Source organism: Homo sapiens, chromosome 3 (assembly GCF_000001405.40).
Source record: "Homo sapiens chromosome 3, GRCh38.p14 Primary Assembly".
Taxonomy (NCBI): Eukaryota; Metazoa; Chordata; class Mammalia; order Primates; family Hominidae; genus Homo; species Homo sapiens.
In genome coordinates, this window is record NC_000003.12 from 123,792,231 (window position 1) to 123,820,187 (window position 27,957).

Below are 27,957 nucleotides of genomic sequence, written 5' to 3' on the forward strand. Positions count from 1 at the left end.
CAGAAGCAGTATGGTAGGAGACTGTGTGTGCAGTTAAGATCCATTTTGCTGTCTGATCCGTTTCTCAAATGTTTTTACTTTTTAGTTTTCTAAGTGTATAATTCAGTATTTTATAATTACTGTATATTGAAAAGTTGTACAACCACCAGTACTAATTTCAGAACATTTTCATCAGCCCCAAATAAATCCTGTGCCTATCAGCAGCCACTCCCCATCTCTCTTCCCCCCAGCCCCTGGTGACCACCTTTCTACTTTCTGTCTCTATAGATATTCCTATTCTGGACATTTCATATAAATAGAATCCTATAATCAGTGGCTTTTTGTGTCTGGCTTCTTTCGCTTAGCATAATGTGTCAAGGTTCATCCGTGTTATAGCATGAGTCAGTACTTCATTCCTTTTTATAGTCATCTAAGTCATTTATGAGCCCCCAGCGATTCTTCCTGTTGCTTCTCTCCTGTTAGCTATGAGGATAAGAGGACAGAGGGAACCAGAGTCAGGGCAACAGAAGACAGCCCTCATCCTGGTAGTGCCCAGAGAGAAACAGACTCCTCAGGAACATCACTAACATCCCCAACAATCTTCTGGTAAGAGATATGAAAGGACTAGTAGGTCAGAATCATTAGCAAACAGTCTTGACTACACAGGTCCATGCACAGCATGCAATTCAGTACAGCCCCAGGCCATTTTCAAGGCAGCAACCCCTGCAAACTCTCCAGACAACCACGTAGCCAGACCTGCCACTTACACAAAGGTAAGGTCCGGCATCATGCAAAAAGAATCATCCACCTGACCCCCTCCTACAAGCTTTCAGGAGCTCCCTCTTAGACTGCTGAGTCATAGTACAACTATTCTTCAGTGTTCTCTTCTCCTTTGAGTACAAGGTAGACAAGGAATGATCATGCCTATTTGTAGAAGAAGAAGTGGAGTCCCAGTAACGGCAAGTGACCAGTATTCATTTATGACAGGTGACAGAAGTGAAATGAGAGGTCCTATCACTGCTCCGGGTATACCAAATGGATGTACAAGAAGGTCGGCTAACTAAACTCTCCTTCCACGGAAAAAGCAAGAGAAAAATTACAGTCAATTCTCAACTGTCCAGATTTGAGGACATATATAAACCCAAGCTGTATTCTTCCTGCCACCGGACCGCGTCTTCTTTTTCTGTAATTATATAGCATGTACCCAGAACACAACCTACATTAACAGCAAAACATCACAGGATGGTCAACTTGCAGCGTCCTCCCCACCCCCAAGTTCTCCAGCACAGACCAAAGCCCATCACAAACAAAAGAAAGAGAAAAGTGGCACAGGTTCGTTTTACATGAAGGTCCAAAAGAAAATTGAGCCTTCTATTAGATCCAGCCGGCCCAGGAAAAGGCTTGACAAGGAGCAGCGGCCCCTGCCCATCCTTCCCCACAGCCTCCCCATCCAGCCACACTTCTTACCCGCCCTTCGAACTTGGCGGTGGCTCCTTCTTTGATGCAGAGGTTCCGAGGGGGCAAAATGAAAGCAGGGGCCTCTGTCAGGGGCATGGAGTCAACTCTTGAGGGATCCACACTGAGGGAGGTTTTGGAAATGTGTGACGAGGCAACCAGCTTCACATCCCCCATGGTCTGCAAAAAGGAAGGAAGAGGACAAGGTCAGATCAGACAAAGCACAGCCCTGTCTTCCCTTCAGGCATCAGGTGTGTCCAGTCTGGAGGTGTGGCTTTTACGTGGAGCAGATCCCCAGTTAGGTCAGTGTCCACCCACAGCTCCTCTGTGAAGATGAGAGGCTCTGTCTTTTATACACAAAGTGCCAGGACAAGGCAGAGCCCATCCCAGACAAACACTCCGGTTCCCAGGGCGATGCCCTGCCTCCTCAAAACCCTGTGGGGAACTTTCCATCTTTTCACTGACCCCTTCTTCTAGGAAAGGGGAAGCTGGGGACAAGAATGGAGAAATAGTTCTTATAATAGATATCTATAATCTGTATTTAATAGTCACTAACTCTTCAGGACCAACATCTACATTAAGCACTTCTGGCAGAAAGTAGAAACTGCTTTAGCCTGAACTGCAAGAGCTCACAGGCTATAGAAAAATGGGATCCATACTCCAAGAGAGGAAGGTAGTTTGGGGTTAATATGGCAAGGACCCTGGGTGAGGTAAAGGGAGAGTCTTGGCTGAATGAAGGGAAGGAGGTAGGCATGGGGGGACATCCCACCTCTGAGGACCAGATTGTGAACAAGGCTCCAAGATCACAGATCATCAGAGAAGGGGGGTGTTTTCAGATTACCCAGGCTAATGCCTCTGCTTATAACTGAAGCCCAGAGAGGGTAAGTCACTTGCCCCAGGAGACAGAGCAAAATGATGGTATCACTGACAAGAACACCTTAAGCCCTGACTCCTGGTCCAGGGCCTGCTGGGGACTAGATAAGATGTGACTGGGGCTGGCAAGGGTAGCAGAACAAGGGGCTGACATGAGAAGTAACAGACGACTACTCATTAGAGCGATCGTCAACTCTTTTGTGATATTTTATTATTCTTAATTTTAAATACATTTCATCATAAAACTTGAAAATTACCAATATGTAAAAATAATAAGTTATCATTTATTGAGAATACATTCTGTTCCAGGCACTGTATCAAGCACTTTTTATATTATCTCATTTGTTTTAATCCTCAGAACAACCCCATGAAGTATGTATAGTCATCATTTCGCAAATAAAGAAGCTGAGGTCAGACAGGTGGAATAACTTGCCCATTACACAGCTATTGAGTGGCAGAAGTGGAAGTTAAACCCAGGCAGGCTCCAGAGCTCTTTTAAAATGTGAAAATGTGAACCTGAAATAAAAGTTTTTTAAGTGAAAATATCCATAATTCTATTATACAGAATGGTGGTACATTTCCCTCCAATTTTGTTTTTATCAATATAGAAAAACACATATCTTACATGGTTGAAAGCATACTATGTAAACAATGTTTTCTATTTTTTCCCTACAACTTTTCTTAAAATAAGGGGGAAAAGTTGCTTTTAAGAAATTTGATTTTCAAATATCCATCATATTGATGTATGACTTACATAACTATCTCCCTACTGCTGGCCATTTGGATAGTTTCTAAATCTTTTATGATGCCCGGTGATGAGTCTATGTGTACTGAAATCTATGCCCGAATTCCTAAAGATTTCCTTACAAATGACTCCAAAAGTGGAATTATTATAAGTACATATCTGAGTTCTTGATTGAAAGCAAGAGAAGCTAAATCTGGCTCTTGTAAACAGAGAAAGGATTTGTTGGAAAGATGGTGGAGTTTCAGGGGGAGTTTCCAAAATCCATAGAAAAATCTGAAGAACCAGGCTGGGAAAACGTTGCAGTTGAGAAGAGCTAGGTGGTCGGACTCCAGTCAAGGCCATTGGACAACAACTGCCACCACCTGGAATACACCCAAAGTGTCCCTGTCCCAGGTTCCAAGTGCAGGTGGGGACAGATCCAGGCTGACGATCATTTCTTACCACAAAATCCCTGATGACTGGCCCAGACGTGGGGCACACATCTGCTGAACTGAAGAGAAGCCATATTCCTAGATTTGCTTTTCTGTTCATTTTCTTTGGCTGTCTGGTCACATACTTAAGTCCTATGCTGTGAGTCAGGTAAACTGACACAAATGAACAATGCTCTCTGGGACATGTAATTAGTTTGTTTAAATTTAATAATCTCTAACAAAAATAAAATGGGGATATCTCTTTTGAAGTTCAAGTGAAAGCAGCAAAGGGACTAGGCTCATTTGTAATAGGGCACATCCCCTGCTTGATAAACCCAGCTTTCTCTTTCACTGATAAGATATTAGCTTTGCAAACAAAATTCCTTGTTGAATGGTAAGACTCACAGGTTCCCTGCAGTAGGTAGCAATAAAAGCAAACACTTGTGTAGCACTTACTAGATGTGGGGAACTCTTCCAAGCCCTTTATAAATAATAAATATAAATAATAAATAGCTCATTTGCTCCTTACAACAACACTATGAGACAGATAATCTTGGTATCCCCATTTTGTGGATTAGACACCTGAGGCACAGTGAGATTGAGAAATTTGTCCAAGTTCATGCATTTAGTAGGGGGCAGAACAGGCATTTGAACCCAAGCACCTGGCGCCAGAGCTGCTATTCTTAACCACTAGGCCCTCTTGCCTCCTGTAAGCAGTCAAATTGGCTGATGGGAAAGGAAAAGTAAAAGTTGGGATAACAAGGGGAAAAGTTGAGAGCCGCTACCACATATGTATAAAATTAAAATATTCTGTAATACTATCAACAACATTAGAAGATGGGTGATAACCTGGAATAAAATGTTTGCACCAAACAAAGGTCTTTACATATCAGAAGAAAGCAGCCCAACAGATCAATGGACGGATGATATGACCTGAACAATGCACAGAGGATGTACCACTGAACACTCTTGGCTCCGACAATAATCCAAGAGTGCAAATTAAGAATAAGCTGTTACTTTTTAAAAATGAACCAAAACATTTCATTTAAATGACATTTAAAAAGAAACATAACATATACTGCTGGTGAGACCATGATGAGATGGGCATGCTCATACCCTCTGTGGGGAATAAAAACTGGTGTAGTCTTTCTGGAAAGCAATTTGGTAAAAAGATTCTAAAAAATACTTCCATGTCTTTTCCCAATAATCCTACATTTAGAAATATATTATTGGGAAAGAATCAGAGATACAGCCCAAAATTTATTTATAAGAACACTATTTGCATTATTTAGGACAGAAGATAGACTATATTTTAAAAAATCCAACAGTGAGAACTGGTCAAATACAGTGGAATACCAGGTGGTTTTATGGGTACATATTTACAGGGAAAATAATGATAAGAATTTGATGATATAGAAATTTTAAATTTAAAAAATTATTACGGGAAATTTCAAACATACAGAACAGTAGAATTGAATGATAAAATGAGCACCCCAAATACCTATCACCTAGATTTAACAATTAACATTTTGCCATATTTATAGCATCTATAGCATTTATAGCATATAGTATATGTTTGTAGAACCATTTAAAAGCAGTCATACTACAATTTTAATGGCGAGCATCAAGATATATTCATTCACTCAATTAAAATATATTTACTAAATATCTACCATGGGCCAAGCTAGAGACTTGGTATACAGCAGCAGTTACATGAGTGGGGCATGTGTGTTGTTGTTTGTGTGGCGACCGTAGAAACACAGGGCTGCGGAAGGAATGGGCATCATCTGATATCCCACATAGCTACCCAGGACCACACCCCAGTAAGAACACTGCTCCCTGTGCCCTCCTCCTCTGCCACAGAGGTGAAGTGATGATACACTGTGCAGCCAGGACCGGGTAGAGACTTGGGATGAAGGTGGGGACAGGTATCATGAGGATCAGACTTTTGTGACCCTGCCACAAACCCGGGGACACGGCCACTTTCCAGCTGTGAGCTGGGCAAGGTGCTCCAACCCTCTTGGCTTCAGTCTCTTTCTCTGTCAAATGGAATGATCATATCAGCCTCATAAAGTTGAAGGGAAGGTTTGAACGAGAGTGTATGTAACACCCATAATATAGCATAAAAGGCATTCAATAGCAGTGGCTGTCAACATCATTATCATCCAGTTCCCAAAGGGATGCCCGTCTCTCCACCCTGAATATAGATATAGACCCTTTCACCAAAGACAGCAAGAAGCCCCAGATATCTTCAGGCAAGGGTCTATGAGTGAGATGACTGGAAAACAGTAGCAGGAAGCAGATGGCAGAATTCCCTGGGAAGGTGGGGAGGAGGGCCTGAGGCCCATGGGCAGCTTCCCGCAGCACCTTTGTGTCTGTACTAGCAGCACCATTTAATAAGCAAGGTGTACGTGCTGACATCATGCTGGGCACCCATCTCAATCAGAAAGAGCAGTTCTAATGATCACCCCTTCACAAATGAAGACATAGAGGCTTAGAAAGCCAACTACTCTTGTCTAAGGTCACACAGCTAAAAAGTGAAAACCAAATCAAGGTCTGATTACAAAGTCAAAATCTGCTGGCTTCTCGGAGGCCCCCACATCTCAAATGAGGTATTTCTTGCCATCCCCAGTAATGAGAGATGCAATAGGCAGAGGGTTGGGAGTTGTACAGAGGAAGAGGGGCAGAGCATGTGCCTCCCCCTTCTGCTGTCAGGCCTGGCTTTGAAGACACAAGACTCTTCTCTACCTTTGCTTTCAGGGGAGCTGGAAGCTAGGAGTGGTGAGATCCTCCTGGAAGGTAGGAGTGGCTCAGGACCCTCTGTGCAAGTCCTCTTGATCTAAAATCAGAGGCCCATGGAAATCTCCTGAAGGCCCCAGATGTTCTCATCAAAAGGCACCTGCTTGATCTCAACAGCACATTAGACAGGAGTCATCCATCCCTAGGAGAGGTCTGGCTTCAGGTTAGAAAAGGAACACGCAAATCAATACAGCAAGGGAACATCTAGTCCCTTGCAAAGTGCTTTTGTGGGGGAGAGTTACTCAACTACCATGCGGACAGGACCAGAGCCCAGCCACACCAAACAGCTCTGCTCACCCTCAGCCCATCGCCCCACCCACTGCCATCATCAGCATAAACAGATCTCTGCCACACAATTAATGGTTACTGACATATGTGGAATGCTCTATCAGAAAAAAAATTAATAATAAAGTAAATTAGACCAAACCTCGTTCCTCTCTAATCCCTTGTCAAGCCTGTGGACTATATTCCAATCAAGAAAACCAGAGAGGTTGGGTGATTTCTACAATAATTTCTCTAATGCAGAGCAATGCTCAGTGGCTAGAATCAAACACACCCAGCTAGGGGGTCTTATTCAATACAAGCTAAACACAGATCAAAGGGGAAACACAGAGAAGTAAGAAGAAAAAACAGGGGAGAGGGTCAAAAAGAGCAGTGGTTCAAGAGCTGGAAACTCCCCCTTACCCCCCTTACCCCTCACCCCTCACCCCCTGATGCTTGGGCCAACGCCCACCTCTAAATGAGGCTTTCACAAGTAACATAATTTATTAACTATTTGAAGCAGCATTGAGTTAACTGGACTTTAATTTGATCAAAAGCACTTTAAATTGTCTCTTGAACCCAGAAAGGAACACTTTCAACTACAGCGAAAAGAGATTGTAACTATAAGGCAAATGACTCAGAAAAAAAGTTTAAAAAATCAGGGCTCAAGTAATACCACAGAACAAGTTTAGAGAAACCAGTTATCCCCTTCCCTACCCAAAGTGTATACATTTTAAATGATCATTGTCTTGAAGCACCTGGTCAGTTTGCCGGGCATCTTGGAAATATCATACCTTCCCTAGAGGGAGGGGCTCCCAAGCAGGCTCCGCAGTCTACCGTGAACCCTACCTCCAACAACAGCACACATCAGAGGCAGCAAAACCACCCACGTGCAAATGCCCCAGGCACTGACAGCTCCCTCTCCCACCTTAATCCTCTCTGCAATGCACTCAAATCCTGACAAGTTCTCTAATCACTCCTAATTCCGGAGTGCGCTGCTCCTCGGCTGTGCCAGGCTGACTTGCTATGACCTACCGGAGCAAAGCTGGGCAGGACCACACACCAGTGAACGGGACACACCTTACCGCAGCTTCTTCCTCGGCAGCTCTCACATGAGTCAGGATGCGAGGCAGCCACACTTCACCACCACCGTACTGCAGAGGTTCCTGTCCAAGGTCCAGCCAAGAATGGAGACCGAAGGAGTGCCGGGCGCCACAGAGCCCAGGGCCAGACCGAAAAAGTTAAGGGGCTTTTGTTCTGACTCTGCTCGCAGATGGTGCAATTTGCCTTCCGCTGAGCAGCCAACTTCACCCGGTCCGGGAGATCTGTTGTTCTAATCCGCCCAGCTGGGGTGACCTTTGAAACCTCTGGCTGCCACTGCAGAGGCTCTCAATGGAGTCCTGGGGGAGCCAGGGGTGGAAGCTCACAGGTTTTTATTTTTACTTGTTCAGAGCTGCAGATTCTAATCTGAGTGTGGAGCAAAGGGAGGACCCTGTCAAGCAGAGAGCTGAGTCCTCGGAGGGGCTGGGCACTCTCCCAATTCCACATCTGGCCTGGAACACCACTCCAACCCCTTGGCACATCTGGCCTGGGATTACCACCCAGGGATCATAAGATATTTCCTCCTGAGACCCAGCTCTTTCTTCCCTAAGCTGAAGAAGCCCTGTTTATGATCCCTAGAGCAGGATGCAAGCCCAGCAAGCAGATGGATGGAGAACTCCTGTGCTGTGTTTCTCATAAGGAACTGCACTGATGAGGCCCAGACTCCACAGACTGTGTTCATGTTGAGCACGACTTTGCCTCGTTGGTCCAGAGCCCTGGAGAGCTTCAGGAATGATCCTTGGAGCACTCCTCTAAAATGAGGCAGCAAGGTGATGCCCTGTCCAGACCTTTTCCTCCAGCAAGAGAAGGTATTTTCATAGTTCCAAAGGAACATCCTATGCAACTCACACCTTGGGGCAGACTGTGGACATCCGAATCGGCAATGACATGAATTTAAGTTTTCCCTTGATTCATATCTGATTCTTGAAGAGCTGGTATTCTTTTAACACCTAGGAGACCCCCTACCTGCTTTCCCAGTAGTTCTCAAACATTTTTGTCTCAGGGTGGGCCCCATTATGCTTCTAAAAATTATTGAGGGCCCCCAGAGAGCTTTTGTTTGTGAGTTACTGCTGTCAATATTTACAGTATTGGAAATTAAAACTGGGAAATATTAATTCATTTTAAAACATCAATAAGCCCATTATAGGCTAACATAAATAACATTTTAAGAGAAAAATATATTTTCTAAGACAAAAAAGAATTTAATGAGAAGAGTTGCTCCTTTTTGCAAATTAATGTCTGGCTAGTAGAAAACAGCTAAATTTTCATATCTGCTTTTGCATCCAATCTATTGTGACATCACAGCTACTAGAAAACTCCACTGTACGCTTGAAAGAGAATGAGAGTGAAATAAAGTAAATGATGTTTTCTTACAAAAATAACTTGGACCTCAAGGGACCCTGGAAGAGTCTCAGGGACATCCAGGGCACATTTTGAGAACCACCACATTAGCCTATCTCCCTACTCTCTCTGTTACCATCTACTCTCATTTCTGTCCTTCTTAAAATACACAAGGAGAAAGGGAAAAGTGGTCTTCTTTATTTTTTAACTTTTACTTTATTTTCCCTTTAAAAAAAACTTTTATTCTAGAGTAAGGGAGTACATGTGCAGGTTTATTACAAAGGTAGATTACATGATACTGAGGCTTGGGGTATGATTAAACCCATCACCCAGGTAGGGAGCATAGTACCCAACAGATAGTTTTTCAGCCCTTGCTCCCCTCCCTTTTCCCTCCTCTAGCAATCCCTAGAGTGTCTATTGTTCTGTTTTTATGTTCATGTATACCTCATGTTTAGCTTCCACTTACAAGTGAGAACATGTGGTATTTGTTTTTCTGTTTCTGTGTTAGTTTGCTTAGGATAATGGCCTCCAGCTATACCCATGTTGCTGCAAAGGACATGATTTCATTCTTTTTTATGGCTGCATAATAGTCTATGGTGTATATGTGCCACATTTTCTTTATCTGCTCCACCATTGATAGGCACCTAGTTTGATTCCATGTCTTTGCTATTGGGAATAGCACTGTGAAGAACATACAGATGTATGTGTCCTTATGATAGAATGATTTATCTTTCTTTGACTATATACCCAGTAATGAGATTGCTGGGTCTAACGGTAGTTCAACTCCTAGTTCTTTGAGGAATCTCCAAACTGCCCCAGTGGCTGGACTAATTTACACTCTCACCATGTAATAATGTATAAGTGTCTTTCTTTTTTTCTCCACAGCCTTGCCAACATTTGTTATTTTGGACTTTTAAACAAAAGCCATTCTGACTGATGTCAGATGGTACCTCATGATAGTTCTGATTTGCATCCTTTCTACTCTTTGTTTCTCAGTCTTCCCAGCTGTGAAATGGGCACAATCACAGCCTGCCCGGGGTACAATCTCAGGGTTTCCTGCTGGCATCCTTGAGTGACTTGGATCCAGGTCCCTGGGTTCCCACATGAAAGCAGGCAAAGCCAGCCCACTCTTGTCCCAACAGCTGAGTTCTTCCCTGAGCCACCAGGCAGCCTCTCCCTCCCCATGGCTTCCTGGGCCTTTCCTCTTGGAAGACACATTAAAGGAGGGGCTGAGCTTCTGCAGGCAGACAAGCTGCCCACATCAGCTGGGCCACATCAGCAGAGCAGCAGACCACGGGTGGGAGGAGCATTTCTGCTCAGCAACACAACCCTGGTGCCCACATCTTTGGCAGAAAGTTATTTTTAAATTTTCTTAAAAGGGGACAACGACAACAACAACACACACACAGACACAGGCACACAGATCTAATCAAATCCACACACCTAACCTCACGCACAGTGTGAAGGAGCAAGGCCTGGTCTCCTGGAGTTGTTTTCTTCCTGCTGGAATTCTTGCTTTATTTGGGATTTGATGGGAACAGGCTGAGAGAAGTTTTCTGCGATACAAGTCATATGCAAAAGTAATTAAAGCCAGAACCAGAGCCCTGCTTATAACTAAATTAGCGGAATGCACACTCCAGCTATAATCCTAAAGTTCACTCACTTCATTCTTAGGTTTCACCCCCTCAGGATTAAGTTTGGGGTATCAAGTATACTTATTGAACTCCTACCACCACTGTCTCCTTCTCAAATACCATGCCCCCCACTCCATTCTGCCAAGCAGAACTGTGCCTTGTGTTTTAAACCCTATGAGATGAGGTGTGAGTACTCAGGTAGGGGCAGCCTCACAACCCTTAGCCCACTGAAGCCCAGGAAATCGACTCAGGGAACAAGAACCGAGCTCATGGCTTCCAATCCCTAGGAGGGTGGCTTGAGGCAATTGACAATCTCTCAAAATCTTAGTTGATTCAGCTGTACAATGCGGCTACTGCTAATAGCCTCGTAGCTGCAAGATTGTTACGAGGGTCAGCAACGTGCATAAAAAGCGACCTCAGCCTAGTCTCTCACACAGAATAGGAGCTGAATCTATGATGACTGCTATCGTTAATGGTGTTACTGCTTTTATGATTTTAAAGTTTCTGTCAGAGGCTCAGAGAATAAAAGCAACCTTGCTCAAAGTAGGTGCACAGGAGAAATCCGGATGGCACTGGAGGGTGAGATAGCACAGAAGAGTCAGTGACTCTCATGCTTATTGTGGTGCTGCCACCCAAACCAGCTGTGTGATCTCAGGAAAGCCACCTTCCTTCTCTGGTCCTCTCTACACGGCCTGAAGGGTCTCTCTGGGCATTTCCTGTCCTAGTGCACCTTTCTCTAAGACTGCCACCAGCTCTCCACAAGACATGTGCGCAAGTAGGAAAGGTTCCAGCAGGGGGATCCAAGCCCAGGCAGGGATGAGCTGCTGCAGGACCCCAGGAGAGGAGGCAAAGCTTATATCCAACCAAAAAGACTTCTGTTGGGGCTCCCTGCCCAGGGCTGCCCGCCAAGCAGGCAAATCAGGCAGGCACACCTGGTCCTCGAGACACACCTGTGAGACAGCGGCACAGGCTAGGAAGACTCTGAGGGCTGGGTCAGTCCCGACCCACACCTGTGCAGTGATTCTAGCTCCTCTGCTTCTGGCCAGCTCCCAGGTGGAGCCCTCTGATTGGATGAGGTCTGTCCAGAGAAGAGCTGGGGCTGGAAGAGCTAAGGGAAAATCCCAGGGGAAAAAGGAGAAAAAGAGAGAACTAATAATAGTTGCCATGTATTTAGCACTTACTGTCAGGCATTAGACTAAGTACTTAAGGTGACTTAGAACTCATTTAATCCCTTAGCAGAATGGCAGATATTAACAGCAAAATTAATGGGGCAGGATGTTGGGGAGTATCATTTGCTCATAAGGTAAATGGAATATACTCCCTGTCTTTCAATCACTTCATTCTTCCTCTCCCTCCCACTCCCTCAATTCTGCCAGCATTTGGTAATTTGAGTTATTTTGAAACAGAAATCTTGCAGGGGGCAGGGAGGGAAGCCAGGGAGAGGGCTAGCAAGTGGGTTTGGGCAGCCCATGGCAGTAGGGTGTGCTATTGGTGCTGTAGGGTCACAGGACTGAGAGGAGACCCAGAAAGGAGAGGGAGTAAAAAGGGTCACCTCTCTGTGGCAGGAGTCTGTCCTGCCCTCCCCTCCTCTCCAACAGTGGTCTGTGAGAAGCCTAGGAAAGCCCACTTGAGAAAAGAAGGTGCAGGAAGGAAATGCACCTCATGATTCTGCAGATCACACACTCCCCTGGAGCAGGCTGTGAGCAGGTTCTCTACCTGCAGACTGTAGATCCCATGCCTTCTGTCTAAAATGGCCTGAAATACACACTGCCTCTCTGCTTTCTGCAGGGAGCTGGTTCTGTGGGGATGATCTTAAGGGACAAGCCCAGAGGATACTTTGCTAGGAAGACCCCTCAATTCTGAGGGCATGGGCACAAGTGAACTGTGAGAGAAGCTGCCCAGGCCTGGCTTCTAAATGTGGCCCCTGGTCCTCTCTATGCAGTTTAGGGGAGGCACCAGGTCCCATGGCCTGTTTCCCCTGAGAAAACATTAGCTCTGTGACTCAACTAACACCTGACTGATTGGAGGAGAGGGAAGAAGGAAGGCGCTTCTGTGTGTGTCCTCCTTTCCATGTGAGCCTAAGCCATTCAGCTGGAACAGGTCTTCCGCTTGGAAGAGGGAGCAGGAAGCACTGCTGACAGGAGGGGCTGCGGTGACATGGTTGCCAGTAGGATCCCAGACTCTTATCAAGTGAAGACTGTCACCAGCCCCAGCTGTCCACAGCTCCTGCTGGACCCCTGGGGCCAAAGGCAGTTGCCATCACTCGTTTGGCTCTGGTGCATCCATGGTTGACTCGAGCTTCCATTACTGAAAGGCCTGGGGATACTTCTATTCCAAATCCTTCCCCGTGTGACACAGCAAAGGAGAATGAGACATGAGCCAACCTGGTTTATCAACTCCTTTAGGACCTGGGATTTGAGAAGCAGGTTTGCAGTTTTCTAATTACATCCATCAACACAATCTGCCTCCCGTGGCTGAAGCCCAAAGCCTGGCAAACGGTATTAAGGATTTCTAGTTTTACTTCCATCCTTGGTTAGCACTGACAGGAGAAGGCAGGTGCACACGGAGGGAAGTGAGGAGGGAGCCGAGACTGGGTTTCTCCAACACGCCAGAGGAGGGAAGGTGCTAAATCTAGGTGGAGGTTTTTCCCATAAAAATCTAGGGTTTTTTTCCCATACAATTCTCAGGCTGGCTGCCTCAACTAAAGAGAGAGAGGGCCAATTCCTAATTCAGGGTCAAGTCCAGAGCTGTATCATAAACACAGCTGGGGTAACCACCAGTCCTAGGAGAGTAGTAACAACAGATTTACAACCTAAGAGGAAGCACAGTGGTGACTGCAAGACAGAGGACTTGGGTGGAGCCATCACGTCACAGGCTTTGTTGTTACACACACCTAGACTTGAACCCTGCTACTGCCACACAGTGGCTGGATGACCGTGGGTGATTTACTTAACTTCTCTAAACCTCAATTTCCCCATCTGTACATCTGCAGGGTAGTATGATTAGCAGCAGCTTTAAGCAGCTATCAGAAAGTAGATACTCAAAATACTCAATACATTGTAACTGTAATAAGTAATTTCTAACCATGTCTGGCATGTAGCAAGCACTCAAAAAATGGTAACAATTTGATAATAGTCAGTTATGATGAAGACTCAGGTTTCACATTTCACTTAAATGTTTTAGTTCATTTAAATATTGCTACAAACATTGCCCTATATATCACAAGGAATAGATTATTAATTCATGCTTTTATTTTTATTTTATTTTTTAATTCATGCTTTTAAAGTGCTTTTTTAAATCAATTACTTATAATTGTTGGACAATATGCATTGCTCTCATCTTCTCAGATTCTAGGTTACTGTTTGCACACTGAAAAATGGCTGGATTGCAGAATGTCAGCGATGAAAGAGAACCTAAATCATGTAGTCCGCTCCCTTATTTTATGGATGAGGAAACTAGGGTCCAGAGTGGACCACTGTATCTTCAAAGACTGAGTTGAGATCTCTGAAGCTGGCAAAGCACAGAGAACAGGCCATGGTAATCTAAGCAGGTGAGCCGTCTGTATAGAGCTGATCTAGGGAGATGGTGGTGCCTGTATATAAGAGCAAGGAAACTCATCTGGTAAAGAGATGGGTCAAGAGAAATGTTGAAAAATAGTCATTACATTGATTGAGACTAGCTTGTGGAGGGCCTAGAGGATGGTGATACTTAGCTAATGTTACCAAAAGGGTTTTTACTTAAAATGAACATTTAGCTACTTATTTAACAACTGATGAAATACTTTCCTAATCAATATCCCATTTCAACTTCACAACATACTAAGATATTATTTATTTATTTATTTATTTTTTGAGATGGAGTCTTGCTCTTGTCACCCAGGCTGAAGTACAATGGCGTGATCTCGGCTCAATGCAACCTCCGCATCCTGGGTTCAAGTGATTCTCCTGCTTTAGCCTCCTGAGTAGCTGGGATTACAGGTGCGCATCACTACACCTGGCTAATTTTTTTGTATTTTTAGTAGAGATGGGGTTTCAGCATGTTGGCCAGGCTGGTCTCGAACTCCTGACCTCAGGTGATCCACCCACCTCGGCCTCCCAAAGTGCTGGGATTACAGGCGTGAACCACCGTGCCTGGCCAACATACTGAGATATTTTATAGCACCACTTTATGGATGGAACACCCGAAGCTCAAAGACCAGGTGAGTCTTGCCTAAGGTCATATAGTTCATAAAGCAGTACTGGAATCCAGTCCTTCTGAACTTCAAATCCAACTTGGCAACATGCTTAGAAAGGGTTTATCAAGATATGTTAAATCTTATGGCTGGGCATGGTGGCTCACACCTGTAATCCCAGCACTTTGAGAAGCCAAGGCGGGGGCATGACCTGAGGTCAGGAGTTCAAGACCACCCTGGCCAACATGGTGAAACCTCCTCTCTATCAAAAATACAAAAGTCAGCTGGGTGTGGTGGCAGGCGCCTGTAATCCCAGCTACTCTGGAGGCTGAGGCAGGAGAATCTCTTGAACCCGGGAGGCAGAGGTTGCAGTGGGCTGAGACAGTGCCACTGCACTCCAGCCTGGGCAATGGAGTGAAACTCCATCCCCCCACCAAAAAAAAAAAAGCTATGTTAAATCTTATTATAACAAATACCTTACACAACAGGAAATTTCCAGTGTAACGAATGTATTGATATCCCCTTAGATTTTTATTGTCATGACATCTGCTGAGTATGAATTTGACTAAGTCATCAATCCCTTGCCCAGGGAAAACCCTTACATTTGCCCTAAACAAACGGGGTGACTTCATTTGAATCCCTCATGCCTGAGGAAGAGACCATGCATACTGGCAAATTTGTGCAAGGCTGACACCACCATCAGCAGATAGTCTTTCCCCATGCACAGAGAGGTTCCCAGAATGTAGTTAGAGATTGTTCCCATTCAAAGGCCAGAAATCTCTGTGTTCTCTCCAAAACCTTGCTGCCCTTCTCCAGACTCCCTCAACTCTCCTCCCACTGGCTGGGCACAAGCCCAGACCCCAGCCTTAGGTGCTGCATCAGAATGGCCAGGAGGCCTTGGCAGTGTGACAAGCTCTATGTTTCCACATGCAGTTCACCCCCTGCCCTCACTGCCCTCCTGAGATATGAGGGCTCCTCCCCAGACAGCCTCCAGCTGTGGATGAGAAACAATGGCTTAGTGCTTCCTGGAAATTACCTGGGGAGATGGAGAGCTGCCAAGCCAAACCTGCCAGGGTCATCAGCTCAAGGCCGACAGTCAGGCCCAGACACAGCCCGGCTCTTCCTCCAGCCTCCTTCACCCTTCACTGCAGAGGGCTGTCTCTCTCCCTGTTTCTGCTAGTTCCACTTCCACACAGCCCTGTCCATTCTCACCAGGGGCAGGGCACAGGGATCCCGCTTCTCAGGTTCCTTTAGAATTCTTTGGTACCAACCTTAGGTCCTTTGAGGATGAGACTCACTTACTCTAGGTGCCTGGAATTTCACAGCTGGAAGGGACCTTTGAAACTACTTTCAATCCCACCTCCAGCCCAGAGGGGTGTGGCTGTATGCCCTTTGGGATATTTGAGGCTACCTCACCCTAGAACATCAACTTTACTCAAAGATTTGGGTGAAGCATTTTTATATTACAACCAAAAAATTCAGATCATTGTATAGGATACCAACTGTAAGTAGATTTTACAAATAAATAGGAGTTCAAAGAAATGCCAGGCTTTCTGCAAGCTGCTACAGGCTACACCCCAAGCCCCTAACCCTAGAATACATGCTCTTTCTCTACTGTCCTCAGGGATGGCTAAGTCAGAGAAGCACTGGTCCAATTACAGAAAGGAAACCTAAGGTCCAGACAAGTGCAGTGACTGAACCACATATCGATTGTCACTAATACAAACAACCCATTTATTGAATGCTTATTGAGGACTAGGTACTGTACTGAGGGCTTTATATAAGTTTACTGTAATTTTCAAAGTAATTCTATAAGATACATACTGTATTACTTTCATTTTAAAGATAAAGGAAGCACTCAGAAGTTGAGTAATAGTAGCCAAAGTTCTCAAAGCTAATAAGTAACGGCTACTTATTATCAACTGGATTTGAACTGAGGTCTCTGATTCCAGGCTTCAGACCCTTGGTGACAAGGTCACATTGTTAGAGATGCCACACGGAAGAGCTGGGAGTGGACTGGAGTTCAAAGGTCCTGGTGTCCTGTCCTGGCTCTGCTGCTAGATTGCACATAATCACAGAACTCAGAGAGCCCCTGGCTCACCTTCTCAGTCTATAGATAAGAAAACCAAGGCCTACAGAGAAGAAACTGACTTAAGGCCACAACATTTCAGGGACAGGGTCTGCTAACAGTGAGGCCCTGAGGGAGTGTCCTGACCTCTCTGGGGTTAGAAGACCTCTAAGCAGGCCAGGCGTGGTGGCTCACGCCTGTAATCCCAGCACTTTGGGAGGCCAAGGTGGGCAGATCACTTGAGGTCAGGAGTTCGAGACAAGCCTGGCCAACATGGTGAAACAGCATCTCTACTAAAAATACAAAAAGGTAGCCAGGTGTGGTGGCAGGCACCTGTAATCCCAGCTACTTGGGAGGCTGAGGCAGGAGAATCGCTTGAACCCAGGAGGCGGAAGTTGTGGTGAGCCAAGATTGCACCACTGCACTCCAGCCTGGGCAACAAGAGTGAAACTTCGTCTAAAAAACAAAAACAAACAAACAAAAAGAAGACCTCTAAACATATAATCTTAGGTGCACATCCTGGCAGTCTCTCTGTGAGCTCCAGCACCTGCAGAGCCACTCGCACACTCTGCTCTGCAGACAGCAGCTCAGACACACTATCCTAAACCTCTCACCAGTAAGCAGGATGGAGCATACTAAGGAAACCTATTTGACAATCCCAGTTGCCCTGCTTCTGAGACTAGCTTGTCAGTCTGCTAGTGATGAGCTAAGCCTTGTATTACAGGAAATAGGACGTACACGCAGTAGCCAAATGCCACAGCCACAACACACAGCCCTCTCAGCAAGGAAATTCCAGAAGTTCATAATTTCCTGCGGTTCTTATACATAGGAATCCTCTTCTATATTCCAACTTCTTAGGCCACTGTTGTTTGTCTAAAAGGCCTACTCCACAGCTGGACAAAAGGATTGAGAAGATGGGACTCTCCTGACTATTTCGAACAGTTTACCTGATCATGGTTCTCAAGCTTTATCAGGTTTGTGCTCTCAGCAGAGCAGGAAGAACTAGGGCCTAAGGCTCAGAACTCATTACCTGTCCGCACACCCATCACTGTGTATTTACTGAGTGCCCACAATACCCGCTAGGACTATAAATAAGGTGAGAGGTTCAACTACCTCCTCCCAATACAATGACATAAGTGCTGTAGGTGAAACGCGGACATAGGCCCCTCCCCCAGACCTCAGGACAGAATGGCCGTGTTTCCCGTGGTTCCCATAGTCTCCCTGTGACTTCCCTCTCCTCCCCTGCCCCTGCTTCCCTTCCCAATCAAGGTGGCCACTCTCTGGAACGAAGAGTTCAATCTGCATCTCCCTGTGAGCCATGGGTGAGCAGGGTGGCCCTGGGTCTGGAGCTGGCGTCTGTTGAGCCTAGGCCTTTCTGGGCCTCAATCTCAGGCTTGGGCCGGCCCACTGTGTCAGGGTTCAGCCCTCTCTGCTTCATTTCTGGCGCTCAATAGAATACAAAATGAGGAAATGTAAGCCAGCTCTAAGCCTGGCCCTGGCTCTGCCAATGGGGATGCCAGTCATGTCTCTTCTAGATGAACAATCCCCCCAACAGGCTCAGGACAGTTCTCACCTTCCCTGTCGTGCTCCTCAGGTAGGCAGGTGAACCCACTCAAGCACCAGCTGCATGCAATGCCTGTGGCAGGACTGGCCGGGAGTCCAGTCAGACCCTTGGCTGTCCTCATGTGACTCACACAGGCCCTTCCACACCATGCCCTGCCTGTCTCCCAAAGGACACCCTCCAGTTCCAGGTTGTCTGCAGGGCAGTCAGTGATGTTGCTGAGAACAACTGATTTTTGCCATCTGCAATGATGGGTGATAACAGAGATCGACACACTTTTCTCCCTTAACAGTCTCATTTTTCTAGCAATCATGGCTACCTTTTTCTCCTCACACTTCACCAAAGATACTAATGAGGCTAACACATGTTTCTCCTTTTCTCCCAGCCCTAAATCTCTTCTAGAATGGGGCTAACTGGAAAGAAATGGTGACCTCTGAGAACCTGGAGAAGGTATGGAAAAAACCAATGATCAACTGAGAGCACAGCCCATCAGCAGGAACACAAAGAGGAACTTCTGCTCGGAGGTGTCAGCTCAGCTGGTTTCCAGTGGAGAGGAGAAAGTGCGTGTCCCCTCTCAACCCTTTCTGAAACAGGGAGCCATTTGCACTCGGGGTGAGGGAGCCCTTCCACACAGGATCCTCCATCAGCTGCAAGGGGGAAGTACAGGCAAATGCAGGGCCAACAGGGAGATCAATGGACCACCATCAGCTATTAGCTGCACTCATACCTGGCTCAGGGATCATGGGCCTTGAGGATATGAGGCTCAACTTCCAATAGGGAATTTGGAATCCTATTGGAGAAAACAGATTATCAAAGAGAAAAATAGAGCCCCAGGAGCCAGGAAAGTGGGATGGAAAATTAAAAAGCTAATGGGGCATTGACCTGTTCAAAGGCCCTAAAACCCTTCATGCTTGTCTACTCCTGAACTTGAAATTCCACACCCTACCGGGGACACTGTGCTAAACAAAGGCAGCAGTTCATTTTTTTTAGCATTCAGCCTGGAGTGCCTAGCATTTATTGAGTGTTAGATGCTCTCTCTCGCCAACAGTAACAAGATTGGTATAGTGCTCTGAAGAGCAGTATGTTGTTTATCATCCCTGTAAAGCTTTGAAACGGCAATTCTAGTGCCAGAACATTTTCTTTCAAGCAATTTAGGTAAGCTTCTACCTGGTGGACACAGCAGCCAGCCAGCTAGGCCCCTCCAGGTGTGATTGATTAGGCCAGAAAGCAGTACTTCACATACTTATTTGTATCATTTTTCTATAAAAACATATCTATTAAATTAACAATTCACTTCTAACTACTAACCCCCATTTCTAACAGTTATATAACATTGAACAGAATGCTATCACCTGGAGCTTTTATCATTAACGCTCAATATAAAGAATCCATTTTTAATCTCACTCTGGTTTTTTGTCATTACCCAATATGGAACTGTTCTTAGAGAAAGCAGACCCCTGGGACTTCTCAGAGTCAGCGATAGAGATTCAGGACGCCTACACTGAAGAACTCTTGCCCCCCAGTTCTGTTCCCCCTCATACCTATTAGTCAGGGCTGGGTTCTATCACCTTAATGGCTTCATCCCGCTCTGCTTCTGGGCTCAAGAGAAAAACTGAATTCATTATTGACAGCACCTGTTCCTTGTGATGTAAGCTTAAACCAAATGAGGGGCGGTCAGAACCAACTTGCTTACACCTGTTTCAGTTTAAGACTTTGCAGTGGTACTTTCTCCCCCACTGAAAGTCAGGTTTCCCCACCCAACCTCTCTAGGAAGCTATGGTTTGACATTAGCCCATGCTTGCTCAGGTGTCCTCTCCACAGATCCCGGCCAATTCCATATCTAGCCTGGCCTCTAAAGCAGAGCGTTCTCTCTTGAGTGAGACAGTGGTTTCCCCTTATCTCTTAACTAGAGACTTAAAACAGTGTCCAGGTGCCAAAAGGTAATTTCTTGCTTAAGTCCAGGAAAAGCCAGAGTTTGCCCCAACACTTGTCACCTGTGTCCCTCAACCAACCAACTGAACAAAACATCTATGAAAGACCTAGATGTCTCTTTACTTTGGAAATCCCTGATGCAGGGCCAACTGTTAATCTGTTTGTTCACACATCCAGTCAGCTGTGCCTGTCACGGCTTCTCCGTTGACTGGGGGCCCCACTGAGCTGAGGCTGTCTGTGAGGAGATACTTTGTGAAGGTCTTTACCTCCTGTTTCGCAGTGCTCCCAAGATGTCCAGCCAGGCATATTGGGGCACTCAGGGTCACACCAATTCTCCTGTGGGCACAGGGAAGGGGGCCTTCTCCACAATCCCACCCCACTTTTCTTGCAAGATGAACCTAGGCTTGGCTCCCAGGCTAGATCACTGATGGTCAACTTGGCAGTCTGCTCAGTAATGGGGTTCCCAAAAAACGTGCCTTGACAGAGCCGATAGAAGAAAGGGCAGACAGCAGGAAGTAAACAGAGCCCACTCAGGCCAAGTCCCTATCTGCTTAAAGTTATCATCCTCTACCATTTGAACTGATTTTTGCACTAGCCATACCAGGGCTTTTTCATGAAAAGTCAAGAACTTGCTAATGCTAAAAGGTTGCAAATAGGGGAAGGTTCAGCTGGCAAATTATTTACCCTTACTTAAGCTTCTGCTTATTGAGATTTTAATGGTCATGTACCAGGTTTGTGGGATGGGGGAGGAAGACTGCAAGGGGAAAAGGAGCTCTTGGGTCAAAGTTAAATATGAATTCTAGCCACATGCTGGGGCAGCTTGGGAATAATTACCTTGGTTATCTTAATCAGGATAGACAGCAGAACTGTATTCATCTACAACACCTGGGCCACTTCTCCATCAGGCTGGGCCCACCTCTGCGTCAGGGAATCTTAATTCACTGTCTCTCTCTCTCTTTTTTTTTTTTGAGATGGAGTCTCGCTCTGTTGCCCAGGCTGGAATGCAGTGACGTGATCTCAGCTCACTGCAACCTCTGCCTCCCGGGTTCAAGCGATTCTCCTGCCTCAGCCTCCCGAGTTGCTGGGATTACAGACATGTGCGACCACGCCTGACTAATTTTTGTATTTTTAGTAGAGACGGGGTTTCACCATGTTGGCCAGGCTGGGCTCGAACTCCCAACCTCAAGCAATCTGCCTGCCTTAGCCTCCCAAAGTGCTGGGATTACAGGCATGAGCCACCATGCCCGGACAATTCACGGCCTCTTAAGCACTAGAGGCAACCAGCAGAGCAACTGTCATCAACCCAGAATGTCCTCCAACCTCCTTTTCAATAATTAGGGTGACCACATAACATATTATCCAAATGAGAGCTCTTGAGAATGGAAAGGGCTCTTTGAATACTCATGCTGGGACTATTCAGGGGAGCCGGGCTATACATAAGGCCACCTCTACCCTAATCACTCCCATGTCTCCCTAAGTCTAGACACAAGACATGACTTCAAAGATATCTTCCCCATGCAGCTGTGTCAAATTTGGTGCCTGCCCTGCCTGTGTAGGCACTGACCCAGAAGGCTGCCACAGAAACACTGACTCATGGGCCCTGTTCCTGTGTCTCGGGCTCAGGGATAAATTTGGTTACAGATACCAAGCCTCTAGAAAAACAAAAGACAAAGGTATCTTCCCCGGCCACATTCACCCTATTCCGGCCAAGCTCAGGCTTCATGTCCCCTCTGTCCAGGAACCTGTTATTTCACACTCCGGGTTATTTTGGACATGTTCTCATAGCTGTCCTTACTCCTTTGCTAGACAGACAGTGTCTTGGTTTCTGACTCTTTACAGGAATGTTGAACTCACCCGAGTTCCCTTGTCTCATCATCTTTTGTCATTCATAAACAAATAAACAATATTGGCTAAAAGTTTGGTCGTGAGTACGATTACAAATGACTTTTCCCCCAATATAAATACTATAATTTTCTGTAATATTTTTCCAATCTGTTTCTATGTATGTACTTTTAAAAATAAAATTATATATACAAATTATCATTGCCTTCATTTTTCATGCTTTTCCTCAGATATGGAACACTCTTCATAAATCTTATTTTCAGTGACTGTATCATATTCTAGCAAGTAGACAAGCCAAAACTTAATGATGCCCCTGTTATTTACTATTTAGGTTGCTTCCAATTTCATTAAAACAAACAGTTTCATGGACATAAACTGATCCTTTCTTTCTTTCTTTCTTTCTTTTTTTAGATGGAGTCTCATTCTGTTACCCAGGCTGGAGTACAGCGGCATGATCTCGGCTCACTGCAACCTCCACCTCCCAGGTTCAAGCAAGTCTCCTGTCTCAGCCTCCCGAGTAGCTAGGACTACAGGCACCTGACACCATGCCTGGCTAATTTTTGTATTTTTAGTAGAGACAGGGTTTCACCTTGTTGGTCAGGCTGGTCTTGAACTCCTGACCTCAGGTGATTCACCCACCTTGGCCTCCCAAAGCACTGGGATTACAGGCATGAGCCACCACACCTGGCCCCTTTATTTCCATAATAATCCTTTAGATTATTTCCCCAAGATACATTTCAAGAACTTCAATTACTGAGTCAGAGTGCATGGGATTTTATGGCTCTTGCATCCAGGTCCTCTTGATTCCTGTCAACTTGCCTGGTGCTGACTTGTGGCTCCCCAGTATTTTACTCTCCTGCCTCAGCCTCCGTTTAAGCTTGTTCTTCTTGATCTGGTGCCAGAATTCAGGCAAGTATCAGGTCCAGGGATTCCTACATGGTTTGAAGGGATGTACACTTAGATACCCAACCAAGTTAGGCAAGCCTTGGGAAGTGAGGCAAGTATTGAGTAAGACAGAAAAGGATCCAAGCTTCGAGAAGTCGTGAAGTTCAAAACGATTGCTATCAAGCAAAACATGAGGCTTCTGCCCTCTCCAGTATAATCCTGCCAGTGGGGGCAGCTCTGGAATGCCTCCCATGGTCTTTTCCACCCAGCTGAGTCCTACTCCAACCTCAAGGTCCATCTCTTCTCTAAGCCCTCCCCACCCAGCAGGATCTAAGAGCCTCTAAAGCCCTATCTATGACATGGGTCCACAAGCACCCCATCCATCACATCGTGCCCACCAACCTATGAAAAGTAAGAAAAATGAGGACAACATGGGGAGCTTTTTATACCGCTTAACGTAAATAATTTAAAAGGCTGTCCTCTAATCTCAGTTTATGTCCTTCAAACTTTTTAGAAATTCATGTGTTCTTTCATTTATTTGTAAAAATGTAAATGGCTTTGTTTAATTAGAAGTTTGTTCATTCATCACGTTTTTGAGAGCTTACTACCTGCCAGGTGCTATAATAGTCCCTGGAGACATAGCAGTGAACAAAACAGATGAAGCTTCCCCTGCTCAGCCCAGCTCAGATTCTGCAGATCAAGGCCTTGTCTCCCCAGCTGCAATGCCTATGAGCAGGACCTGGGTTTGTACATCTTTGGATCTGCACACAGTAAGTTCTTAATACACACTTGCTGAGGACAGAGTTTTATAATGATATCAACACTTCCTGGGAGGATGGTGGGAGCACTGGTGTGCACATCAGTATGCATTGATGGCATACATCCTATGGGTCTCCCATATGTATGTATGGCATATGTATGCATGCATGGAAGCATGAAGTAGGCGCTGAAGTCAGCCAGCTCTGGCACCACACTGCCTGGCTTCCAGCCCCAGCTCTGCTGCAAGACCTTCAGCAAAGTTCTTGGACCTCTTTCAGCTCATGTCCTCCCTATAATGGGGGGAAGATGGTAACAACACTTGTCTCAGAGGTCATGAGGACTGAAGTCCTCAACACAGTGCTGGTTCCCTGGAAGCCCTCCTTAAATGTGGCCTGTTGCAGCTATAACCATAGCACCAATTGGGTGCTAAATGAACCAGCTATTAGGCGACAGAGTCAACATTAAACCAAGAGAAAACTTCCACACTCCAGGGAACCAACCTGAAATTGAAGATGTATTTCACTGGTTGGCCAGAAAAGTTAATAACATAAGACAGAAATTTTCATTTGTACATAAAAGAGAGGGAAAAAAAACTAGACAGACTTTCTCCTCCTTCTCCAAATATGCCAATAATAGAAATATGGCACAATGCCCCTGCCAAATCCAGGTTTCTGTAATGATGGGCACGTGCCAGAACTCAACCACAAACAGCCAGGCTGAGTTGGGGGGAGCAGAATTTGGGAATAAACACACACAGATCGGGGACTTTCCTGAAGTATGGACATTCCACAGACAGATCATTTCCGGTGCCACAGAAAGCTTCGGAATTTAAGAAGTCTGAAGGAGGGTGCAGTAGGGTGGGAAACAGAGCATGGGCCACAGCCAGCAGAAGGACAAAGGCCCAAGTTTGTAGAGGCTGCTGTTAGCACTGAGATTTAAGTGGAATGCTGTGCAGATTTAATATCAGTGGCGCAGATAAAATAATGTCAGCAGATTGGGTAATTAAAGCTTCTTGGCTCACTTCCTCACTCTCTCACTTTCTGGAAGGATGTTCAGAGGGAAAAGAGATGGGTGCAATAAACCAAGAATTCCTCAGGGTTATGAGGATATTTTTAGTTTCTCCTGACATCTAGGATAGCAGAGATATTATTTCAGGATCAGATCTTGACTATGCCCTTTACACTGGGCTAAGCATCACTCTTTAAAACCCTTTGATGAAAATGAGATTCTTTTAAAGATGTCCACAGAGTAATTAAGACAAGACTACTTCTGGGGAGTCTTTAGCCCCTAGCAGAGGCCATTTCTAGCAGAGTGGAACATATACTGTGAAGCCAGTTGCCACCACTCCTGTTTCTTACCATCTCCCCAAATTCCTTTCCCTACCTGCCCAGGGTTCCCCTCTGGGCCTGCATCTGGATCAGATCTGCTCAGCCCAGGCCTACAGCTACACCAGGGGAGTTGTCAGGGGGCCGTAGCAAGGTCATCACAGAGCAGCACTGGCCCAACCACCTGTTCCCACTTGCTTTTTAAAGCTTGGGCTACTTGACAAGGAAAGAGTGAATCACAGAACCACAGAATCTTATTCTGTCCCAAACTGGGCAACAGTGGGCCTCATGTGTGCAACGAGATTTGCCAGGGTATAGCTGAGCCATGAGGCTGGTGATTACAGGCTGATAGCGGGTAAGGAACCAAAAATAGGGCAGGCCTGAGAGTGCGAGGAGCTGCAGAACTAACTCCTCCAGATCCTTAGGGTGGTCCTGGATTCTCAAGAGGTAAGGCACCCTCCTCACACATGCAGAAACCATCTCTGTGCATGTCCAACAGACCTGAGGCCTGAGGCTCCAAGAAGGGACAGGGGGCATGGCAGGGGAAGGAGTTCAGGTCACTGTTAGCAGGGTCAGCTCTCTTAGGAAAGGTCTAGAGAACCTCATTAGGGCCATCCTCTTCCATTGCCCAGCTCCTATAGCAGAGGGGTTTATTGTGGGGACCTTGACAGAGCCCAGACAGCACATCTTTGAAAGGTAACCACTGAGTTACCACTCTCACAGGTAGTCCATTCCCTTATGATGTCAGGGGGCACTGTATTATTCAAGAAATGATTTTTGCTGAGCCATGATATGCCTCCCCGTAAATGGACCCAATTCTGCCTCCTGCAGTCACACAGAGTGAACTCTCCTCTTCTATAAGACATGCCTACAAATGTTTGAAGACAGGCATCACTTATCCTTTATCATTCTGCAGATTAAACACAATCAGTCCCACTTCAACTATTTCTACTTGGCAGTTTTCAAATACATCCACTTCCTCTGGGCACACATTAGTTTGACTATGACCCTCTTGCTATGACTCTGAGGAATGAAGAAAGAACACAACCACAGGGAACCTGTAATCCCAGCACTTTGGGAGGCCAAGGCAAGTCGACCACTTGAGCCCAGGAGGTCGAGACAAGCCTGGACAACACGGCAAACCACAACTCTACAAAAAAACACAAAAATTAACTGGGAATGGTGGTGCATGCCTGTGGTCTCAGCCACTCAAGGGGCTGAGGCAGGAGGATTGCTTGAGTCCAGAAGGCAGAGGTTGTAGTGAGCAGAGATGGCACCTCTGCACTCCAGCCTGAGCGACAGAGCCAGACCCTCTCTCAAAAACAAAAACAAAAACCCACAACTCGCAACCACACAGTGGTTAAATGTGCAGATTTGAATCTCAGTTCTGTCACCCACTGTGCCTTAGTTTCCTCAGCAGCACCTGATAATCTTAGTTGTGGTGAATTAAATCAACAATTCATGGAGAGCTCTTAGAACTGTGCTTGGCACCTGATAAGCATCTAATTAAGTTTTAGCTACTTCTTAGCACAATGCTTACATTATAAGAAGTACATAATACATACACAAGTCCTCCACCTAGATATTCCAGTTCCCTGACTCACCAGCTTCCTTACCGATAAAACAACAACAGTACCACCCTGGGCAAGGCTGCTTTGAAACTTTGATGAGGCAAGAAATGAGAAGTCTCCTGGTCAGTGCTTGGTGCATGACAAGGATGAAATAAACATTAGCTTCCTTTCCTTTTTATTGATGCAACAGTTGGGAGACCATTCTTCATGTCTCTCACAGTTTTGCACATCTTGCAAGCAGAGGCACTGACTGCCTTTGTTCCCGACTATCTTTTCAAGAAGATTTGCATAGCAAACAGCCTTCAAAGAGAGAGTTTCCCTCAGGATGGAGCAAAGTGCAGGCACACTTACTGTTCATTACAGAGCTCTCAAGTTCCCTAGGCTCAGGAATTCTCTCCACTGTGTGTGCAGGTATCACCTGGCTCTCTTGGTGTCAACCTGTGGGGGTTGGAGCTCAAAGAACCAGTACAGGAAAATGATGATGTTCTGATTACTGTTACTGTTGTGAATCATAAAGTCCCTTATCTCTACCCCATGAGTCTCATCTTCTGCCAGCAGGTATGAAACTGTGGCAGGTTAACTCCTTAACTTGAAAGTATATGAAATCTAAGACCCTTCACAGCTATTAGCAAAAGCCTATAGAAAAGATAGTGGCAAAATAAACTCCTTTCCCATAGTCTTTATCTTAAAATGTCATCTACCCCTTCACATCCTAGCAACGTTTAGCTGACTTTTTAAAATTTTTAAGTAAAGAATGTTTCCTTATTTTCTTATTATTCCTGTTGATTTTCATCTTCTGGATTGTAATTCAAATTTCTGTTCATTTGAGATATTTCTAAGCCTCCTTTTTTTTTTTTTTTTTTTTTTGCAGGGGGCATTCTTTTGAAGACTCCTCTTTTTAAGTTCCTTTGTCTGAGATGCACAGACCATCATCTCTCCTTACATCCCATTCATTCCTCCCACCAAAACAGGTGCACCACCCTCCTTCTAAATCTAGTCTCTTAACTGTAGCATCAGACACCAGGTCTGTACTGAATAAAACTTACGGAGAGCTTCTAACTTCATTCAATTTGTTGGCAAGAGAACTGAAAGTTCTACCAGCATCCTAGGGTGCTCTTCTCCTCTCCCTTCATCCTTCACTGAGAGCACAGAGCAGGGCTCTCATGCTAACAACCCTGCCTGTAAAAGGTGGGGATGCATGACCTGAGGGTGTGACTCAGGCAAAGGCCAGCAGGACACCAGCTG

The 27,957-nt window shown here is 45.6% G+C and overlaps 1 protein-coding gene and 1 non-coding gene across 18 annotated transcripts in view, besides 3 other annotated features; one reads left to right on the top strand and one right to left on the bottom strand.

The window, feature by feature from the left end:
• MYLK (myosin light chain kinase) overlaps nucleotides 1-27,957 on the bottom strand; it is a 274,284-nt gene that overhangs the window by 182,182 nt on the left and 64,145 nt on the right. For 15 of the 17 annotated variants that reach the window (XM_047448184.1, XM_024453532.2, NM_001321309.2 and 12 more), the window contains one exon: nucleotides 1,447-1,614. In XM_047448184.1, coding sequence (XP_047304140.1) covers nucleotides 1,447-1,611 — 165 coding nt within the window. In that variant the 5' untranslated portion in view covers nucleotides 1,612-1,614. Of the gene's footprint in view, nucleotides 1-1,446; nucleotides 1,615-7,557; nucleotides 7,832-27,957 lie in introns of those variants that run through there. The other 2 variants (XM_024453537.2, XM_047448185.1) reach the window with 2 other exon arrangements.
• Nucleotides 262-1,461: an enhancer, noted in NCBI's record as "CDK7 strongly-dependent group 2 enhancer chr3:123511339-123512538 (GRCh37/hg19 assembly coordinates)". NCBI's record gives its function as "activates an origin of replication core promoter dependent on BRD2, BRD4, P300/CBP, MED14 and CDK7 cofactors, with strong dependence on CDK7, by STARR-seq in HCT116 cells {active_cell/tissue: HCT116}" and the evidence as "EXISTENCE:reporter gene assay evidence [ECO:0000049][PMID:35650434]".
• Nucleotides 15,632-15,926: an enhancer, noted in NCBI's record as "tiled region #10510; HepG2 Activating DNase matched - State 5:Enh". NCBI's record gives its function as "activates a minimal TATA promoter and a strong SV40 promoter by Sharpr-MPRA in HepG2 cells {active_cell/tissue: HepG2}" and the evidence as "EXISTENCE:reporter gene assay evidence [ECO:0000049][PMID:27701403]".
• Nucleotides 15,632-15,926: a silencer, noted in NCBI's record as "tiled region #10510; K562 Repressive non-DNase unmatched - State 22:ReprW". NCBI's record gives its function as "weakly represses a minimal TATA promoter and a strong SV40 promoter by Sharpr-MPRA in K562 cells {active_cell/tissue: K562}" and the evidence as "EXISTENCE:reporter gene assay evidence [ECO:0000049][PMID:27701403]".
• Nucleotides 21,847-21,977, top strand: LOC124906346 (small nucleolar RNA SNORA5). Its single transcript, XR_007096306.1, has one exon. It is a non-coding gene; the product is annotated as a small nucleolar RNA SNORA5 (small nucleolar RNA).